This window comes from Homo sapiens, chromosome 17 (genome assembly GCF_000001405.40).
Source record: "Homo sapiens chromosome 17, GRCh38.p14 Primary Assembly".
Taxonomy (NCBI): Eukaryota; Metazoa; Chordata; class Mammalia; order Primates; family Hominidae; genus Homo; species Homo sapiens.
This window is the reverse complement of record NC_000017.11, coordinates 57,014,378-57,022,198: the sequence shown is the minus strand read 5'-3', so window position 1 is coordinate 57,022,198 and position 7,821 is coordinate 57,014,378. Positions and strand designations below refer to the sequence as shown.

Genomic DNA, 7,821 nt, shown 5'->3' with positions numbered 1-7,821 from the left:
GGAGAATCCTTGAACCCAGGAGGCAGAGGTTGCAGTGAGCCAAGATTGCACCACTGCACTCCAGCCTGGGTGACAGAGAAAGATTCCGTTTAAAAAAAAAAAAGATAATGGAAAAAAAACTGTAACCCAAGATTTTCAAGTTGGCCAACGCTAATGTCTAATGGACATAACTCTTTAGATGATACAAGGAATATGCTGCATCTGGCAAGAGTTCATCTAATGTCTCAGAGTGATGCAAGAGACAGGTGAACCATTATTTATTAAGACAAGCTCATCAATGTCTGGGGTGGATTGCATGGTGAAAGGGATATCTCATATCACTTAAGTCCCAAAGGAAACTTGATGGAAACCATTAACCGGAAATGCATTTCTCAATTTCTTAGTCAAGCTCCAGGTTCTCTGTGTGATACTCCCAATTTAGTTCAGTTCGACAAATATTTACCCAGTGCTATGTGGCAGGCACTGGTCCAGGTGCTAGAGATGTAAAGCTGAGTAAGACACATTCTGTTCTTGGAACCAAACTGCCTAAGGCCAGCTCCTGGAATTCTTAAAGTGAAAGGCATGGCTCAAACATTATGGCATCAGGGAAGTAGTGGTATAGGTTTTGTGATCAGTGAGGATGCATGAAATAATGCTCTAGTGGGGGTGAGCTGAAGCTCAGCCCCATTACTACTCTGTCTCATTAGCCACTGAGAGATTTCACTCTCCTTATTCTTAAGGAGAAAGGTCCAAAGATCTCATCTTCTGAAGCTACTTCCTGCTGAAGCTACTTCCCGCCTAACCGTGCAGGGCATGGAGATCTCTTCCTGACTGCTCTAAAGACCTATAGAGACTAGGCACTGTTGAAACCTGGAAGACATAAATTTTAACCATCCATACTCCTATTGAATATAACAAATAATTATTTTAAAAAATTAAATAATACCCAGTGATAATAACATGCTTAAGCTCAGTTTGATCTTTTTTTTTTTTTTTTTTTTTTTTTTTTTTTTTTTTTTTTTTTTTTTTTGAGACAGAGTCTCGCTCTGTCGCTCAGGCTGGAGTGCAGCAGTGCGATCTTGGCTTACTGCAAGCTCTGCCTCCCAGTTTCACGCCATTCTCCTGCCTCAGCCTCCTGAGTAGCTGGGACTACAGGCGCCCACCACCACACCCGGCTAATTTTTTGTATTTTTAGTAGAGACGGGGTTTCACCATGTTAGCCAGGATCGTCTCGATCTCCTGACCTCGTGATCCGCCCGCCTCGGCCTCCCAAAGAGTTCGATAATTCTTATAAGAGATCAGATGCCGTTAATTTAGGTGAATAGTCCAGAGAGCCAGTCTCCTGTTGCCTGAAGTATAAAGCAAACAGACTTTTAATAAAAGGCACTTCCCAAAAATGGAATAAACAGGAGAAAAACAAATGTTAATAGTGGGCATAATCTATCCAGATGTTAGACTCAAAGTATCTTAGTTACAGAGGAGGAAGGCAGTGACAATCTGACGTGCTCTTATCACGTGTATCACAAGGAATAAGCTTCAGCTTGCAGGGCCTTCGGAAAAAGGTAGTAGCAATTCTATTGAGTTTGTAAACCAAAAAGTATCTGAGACAGGTCTCAATCAATTTAGAAGTTTATTTTGCCAAGGTTAAGGATATACCCAGAAGAGAGGTCTGTGTCTTTCTCCAAAGATGATTTTGAGGGCTTCGATATGTAAAGGAGAAAAGTGGACTGGAAGCGAAGAGGGAGGGTATGGTCACGTTACTGAATCACATGTTGCAAGAGAAAAGGAGCAGGTAGGGGAATAGTAAATTATGTATTTGTCTTGCCCTCAGTAAGACAGAACTTTGCATAAGATAAGGTGAACATAGAGTAGTGACCTGTGGAGATACTTAACCTTTTATCTGTAGCTGTCTGCTTAGAAACAAAAGGAAAGGCAGTTTCTTGCATGACTCAGTTTCAGCTTAACTTTGTCCCTTTGGTATAGTAAATTGGGGTCCCAAGTTTTTATTTTCTTTTCACAAGTTTAAGTTAGAAAAATGGAAGAAAAATTTCCAAACATTAGTTGGGAGACTTGCAGCCCAGAAAAGGTTTAAGATTCAGTCCATGTTGTAAAAATCATATTTAAAAAACTCAAAAATAACAGACAAGACTAGAACCTAATAGCAGGTGTATTATAATATTTTTTCTCCAGTCTTTCATTTTTAATCAAAGACAAGTCATGGTAGGACCAATGTGTTTGCAAAATAAGTTTTAGTCATATTATACTTGGCCTGATTATTTGCATAAAGTGCAGCAAGATAATTATTCTCTTTTTAAATTGGCTTTGCTAGAACTTCGTTCCGTAAGAATCTCAGATTAGATTGTTTAAAGCCTGGAGCCCAGCCATGGATTTATCTCTGCCTGCAAATGCCTATATGAAATGGGTGAATTCTCCTTTGGAGGTCCCAAGATAACTTGGAGCCCCCACACTCAGTCCTCAATGGAGCACTGCCTAGTGGAGCTGTGAGAAGAGAACCACCATCCTCCAGACCCTAGAATGGTAGATCCACCAAGAGCTTGCACCATGTGCCTGGAAAAGCCCAGGGCACTCAACGCCTACCGTGAAAGCAGCTGTGGGGGCTGGACCCTGCAGAGCCACAGGGATGGAGCTACCCAAGGCCTTAGGAGCCCACCCCTTGCATCAGCATCACCTGGATATGAGCCATGGAGTCAAAAGAGACTATTTCCTACCTAGATATTAAACATCAATGCTAAAATTTTTTTTATAATGCAAGGTAATTTTTGATGCCTCCAAGAGTCAAGATGATCAGGTAATGCAATGCAAAATGAGCAAAACCTTAGATTTTGAGAGGGATCTGTCCAGTTATAATTTTGGGGGTTATGTTAGGGAAATAGGAGCATAGCAGAGCCAGGGTGATGCCATTTTGAGTTCAGCTCATCTTGAGACTAACAAGGCGCATTCCATGCTTGTCACAACTCACAGTCATGAGATGTTTACAGTTCAGGAAACAGCTTGAAGATACCTGCAAAAGACACATTCTTACAATGATGGAAAGTCCAGATGTCCCAATATTCATAACGATACATGCTTTTAAGATTGCTATGCTTTGGGCCAGGCGCGGTGGCTCACACCTGTAATCCCTGCACTTTGGGAGGCTGAGGTGGGCGGATCACTAGGTCAGGATATTGAGACCATCTTGGCTAACATGGTGAAACCCCGTATCTACTAAAAAAAACCTCAAAATATTAGCCGGGCGTGGTGGCGGGCGCCTGTAGTCCCAGGTACTTGGGAGGCTGAGGCAGGAGAATGGTGTGAACCCGGGAGGCGGAGCTTGCAGTGAGCGGAGATCGCACCACTGCACTCCAGCCTGGGTGACAGAGCGAGACTCCGTCTCAAAAAAAAAAAAAAAAAAAAAAGATTGTTATGCTTTGGGTGGGCACAGTGGCTCACACCTGTAATCCCAGCACTTTGGGAGGCCAAGGCAGGTGGATCATTTGAGATCAGGAGTTCGAAACCAGCCTAGCCCACATGGTGAAACCCCATCTCTACCAAAAAATGCAAAAATTAGCCGGGCATTGTAAGGTCAGCTGAGAGAAAGGACGAGAGAGAGAGACCCAAGTTCAGGCAAGTAAGTTTATTGAACCTGCTGGCTGCTCGGTTACAGACAGAGGAGGCAGCCCTGAGTTTACAAAATGAGGGGTTTATATGGGGGAGAGAGACCCCAGGGTCGTTTGTTGGTTAACTCTGCCACATATCACCTGTGACATTTATGGTACCGGAGGATGTAGGTAAAGTTTGTTGATGCTTCCCATGACCTCCCCCTGTGGGGTCTGGATGGTTTGTAATTGGGGTTTGCTTTATAGCAGCAAGTCCTGATAGGTAAAGTCTGCCGGGTTCACTGCAGTGCCTAGATAAGGGCTTAGAAATGTAAAGAGGCTTGGGGCAGCATGGAGAGGAGTTGCAGAGTGGGGAGGGGCGGGCAGCACCAAGAAGCTTTTTGGAGCAGTTTGTCTCTAACAGGCATCATGGCAGAATTGGAGCGGGAGCCAACAGCAGGGAGAAGACCGGCAGAAGGGCAGGCACTTCTGAGCCTAAAAGGGCAGGGGGGCCTTCCTGAGCCCCCAGGAGTGGGGACTTGTGGTGCCTCTTCTGAGTTGGCCCATGTACCAATCGGCATACACTTCCTCCCCCTCTGAGATCCATAAAAGCCCGGGGCTCAGCCAGAGCAGGGCAGAGGATGGAGAGATGATGGGATGACCAGCTGCAGAGAGCAGCTACCCACTCTTCTGAGAGCTGGAGATGACAGGATGATCAGCTGCAGAGAGGAGCTACCCTCTCTGCTGAGAGCCACAGACTTCAGGATGACCAGTTGCAGAGTGGAGCTTCCCTCTTGAGGGCCTCCTCTGTGCTGAGAGCTGAACACCCGACGAGAAGACCTGCCTACAGAGGAGCTACCCACTGCAGGTCTCCTCTGAGCTGTTGTAACACTCAATAAAGCTCCTCTTTATCTTGTTCACCTTCCACTTGTCTCTGTACCTCATTCTTCCTGGACTCAGGACAAGAACCCGGTCAAAGGGGCCACCAGCACAGAGGTTTCCAGCCAGAAAAGTGACACCCCAAAGATCCCATAACACTATCTTAGAACCACAGGCCAAAGCCTCTTAAATTTCTTAATTTTGTAGTAAGTTAACTTTCACTCGCGTCTGTGTGAAGAGACCACCAAACAGGCTTTGTGTGAGCAACATGGCTGTTTATTTCACCTGGGTGCAGGCGGGCTGAGTCCGAAAAGAGAGTCAGCGAAGGGAGATAGGGGTGGGGCCGTTTCATAGGATTTGGGTAGGTAAAGGAAAAAGGGGGGTTGTTCTCTGGCAGGCAGGAGTGGGGGGTCACAAGGTGCTCAGTAGGGGAGCTTTTGAGCCAGGATGAGCCAGGAGAAGGAATTTCACAAGATAATGCCATCAGTTAAGGCAGTAACAGGCCATTTTCATTTCTTTTGTGGTGGAATGTCATCAGTTAAGGCAGGAACCGGCCATCTGGATGTGTACGTGCAGGTCATAGGGGATATGATGGCTTAGCTTGGGCTCAGAGGCTTGACATTAACGGTTTGTGTTCTGAACTTTCCTCAGTGTTTAGAAAACCAATACTGACCGTCACACCCAGGCCTCCCTGGTGCCTTCCTGAAAGCTAGCTGGGCGTTTCTGGCACCCTGTCTCGGGCAGTCTCCCCAAACCAGCAGGACTACACATTTGGACAGACTCCCAAAGAGAGAGAGAGAGAGATTCTTGGGACTTAAACTCAAATCAATTTAGGCCAGGGGATGGGTGTGACTCATCCCACTGCCTGCTGGGTTAACCAGAACTGGATGGTCAACCCTTTTAATTCATCCTGTGTGGATGTTTATTCAAGTGACCCAGACCAGTAAATCAGGAAAATCATGTCAACCCATCCCTCATGGATGTCTAATAAGGCAACCCAAACCAGAAGGGATTAGAAGAGGAGGGGCGAAGCACCCCAAATGACAGAAAAAAATAGAAAAGGGATAGGAAAGACAGAGAAAAGGAAGGGAGAAAAGTGTTGCCTTGAGGTTTGGGCGAGGTGTTCCAAGGGGCTGGAGACTGATCCATTGTGGTGACACTGAGTCAAAAGTTCAGGCAGCTGCTGTCAGCCACTAAGGGATATTGTCCAGCAGTCCCATCAGCCCTCAAGTCTCCCCACTAGCAGAAGAAAAATCTCCCCATGTAGCCTGATCCCAGATGAGCCCTCAAAGAACGTGTTACCAACCATGGGTTCTTGGGCTCTCAAAGCAATAGAAATTGACCTGAGCCTGAAAAAGTTTTCCCAGACAAGGCCTCCTTGGAGCTTATGTCCTGAGGTAAGCGAGGCATAGAGAGCCAGTAGGGCTTTTTTTATTATGCAAAGCATGGGCATTGACAGCAGGGTAGGTTATGTAGGCTGGGCTGAGCAAAGCCGGTGAGGGGTGGGGTATGCAAGGCAGCATATCTAGTTGCGATGGCTATCTTGAGTAATGGGCCACTTGGTGGTCTGGCCTGCAGCAACAAGGCTGCAAATCAATTGTGCAGCATCCCTTCCCTAGGTGGGACACTCCACAACCTTCATTATCTCCTAAGAACCATGCTGGAATTCTTTAAGTAAAAGAGGAGTGAGGTAGTGGTGTGGGTTTTGGGATCAGTGGGGATGCATGAAAGAATGCTCTAGAGCAGGTGAGCTGAAACCGAGCCCTGTTTCTACTCTGTCTTAAGAAGACTGAGGATTACAAAGTACAGGTAGAGTGCTTAGAGAGTGAGCAAAACAGGGTTCTACCTTAGCTTGGGGGATCAGAGAGGGCTTCTTGAGAGATTCATATTTATTCTGAGAGCTGAAGAGAAATCAGAAAGCAGCTAGGTAGAAGGGGCAGGAGGTTTCCAGAAAGCCAGGCACATGGAACATTCAGTGTTGAGGGTTGAGGAGCTGGGAGAGAAAAGATTTCTTCCCCTTTTCTTGTTTCTAAGTCCTCCCTAAAGACTTGCTTCTAAAGAAGAGGCAAAAGTAATAAGATGTCACTTCTGAGATTTCATTATAAAAGATCATGACCTAGGCCAGGCACGGTGGCTCATGCCTGTAATCCCAACACTTTGGGAAGCCGAGGCGGGCAGATCACGAGGTCAGGAGATTGAGACCATCCTGGCTAACATGGTGAAACCCCGTCTCTACTAAAAATACAAAAAATTAGCCAGGTGTGGTGGCGGGTGCCTGTAGTCCCAGCTACTGGGGAGGCTAAGGCAGGAGAATGGCGTGAACCCAGGAGGTGGAGCTTGCAGTGAGCCGAGATCGCACCACTGCACTCCAGCCTAGGGGACAGAGCAAGACTCCGTCTCAAAAAAAAAAAAAAAGATCGTGACCTTTGTCTTGCACATTTGCCCATGCTCTCTCTCTCTGGCTCTCTCACTCTTTCTTTCTCTGTGTCTATCTGATGAAGCCAGCTGCCATATTGTGAGCTGCCCATGGAAGGGTCCACATGACAAGTAATTAAGGGAGTCCTTCAGCCCAACAGCCTATGAGGAAGCGAATCGTGCCAATAACCTCATGGCTGAACTTGGAACCACATTCTACCCTAGTTGGGCCTTGAGATGACTGCTGCCCTGGCCAACCCTTGATTGCAGTCTTGTAGAGGTCCTAAAGTAGAGGACCCAGCTAAGCCACAGGTGGACTCCTCACATACAGAAACCGTCAGATAATAAATGTTGTTTTAAGCCACCAAGTTTCTGGGTATTTTATTTATTTTAATTTTTTAAAAATTAATAGGGACAGGGCCTCGCTATATTAACCAGGCTTGTTTTGAACTCCTGGCTTCAAGCAACCCTTCCACCTTGGCTTCCCAAAGTGCTAGAATTACAGGCATGAGCCAGCATGCCTGGCCTTCTGCGTAATTTTTTATACAGTAATAGATAACTAATATATTCATCAAATAAGGAGTCCCTGGATTTATCATGGACTTTGCATCTTACCAAAGTTTTGGGTTCATCCTGAAGCTGGGAACACAACAAATTCTGAGCACTCATGTCATTAGGAAGGAAACACTCCCTAAGTCCTAAGGGACACAGGAAATAAGTTCCCAATAATTATTATCCAAGAGCTGGGCATTCACCGCCCTTAGGCAACTGAAGAACTGTGAGGACCATATAGCTCCGCCACATCTAGGCTTCCTGAATAAGAATTAAGTGGACAATCTGAAAAATAACCAGATAATCAATTAGATGATTATATAACTGCCCTCATTCAAAGATACAGACACATAAAAAAGCAAACACATAAACATAGGGAAAAAACACCTGCAACTAAAAT

The 7,821-nt window shown here is 45.7% G+C and overlaps 3 annotated features.

Annotated features, from left to right (window-relative positions):
• Positions 3,607-4,431: an enhancer, noted in NCBI's record as "H3K27ac-H3K4me1 hESC enhancer chr17:55095129-55095953 (GRCh37/hg19 assembly coordinates)". NCBI's record gives its function as "activates a minimal SCP1, AML or CMV promoter by ChIP-STARR-seq in primed H9 embryonic stem cells {active_cell/tissue: H9 hESC(primed)}" and the evidence as "EXISTENCE:reporter gene assay evidence [ECO:0000049][PMID:30033119]".
• Positions 4,432-5,258: an enhancer, noted in NCBI's record as "OCT4-NANOG-H3K27ac-H3K4me1 hESC enhancer chr17:55094302-55095128 (GRCh37/hg19 assembly coordinates)". NCBI's record gives its function as "activates a minimal SCP1, AML or CMV promoter by ChIP-STARR-seq in naive and primed H9 embryonic stem cells {active_cell/tissue: H9 hESC(naive and primed)}" and the evidence as "EXISTENCE:reporter gene assay evidence [ECO:0000049][PMID:30033119]".
• Positions 5,797-6,091: a silencer, noted in NCBI's record as "tiled region #8860; K562 Repressive non-DNase unmatched - State 23:Low". NCBI's record gives its function as "represses a minimal TATA promoter and a strong SV40 promoter by Sharpr-MPRA in K562 cells {active_cell/tissue: K562}" and the evidence as "EXISTENCE:reporter gene assay evidence [ECO:0000049][PMID:27701403]".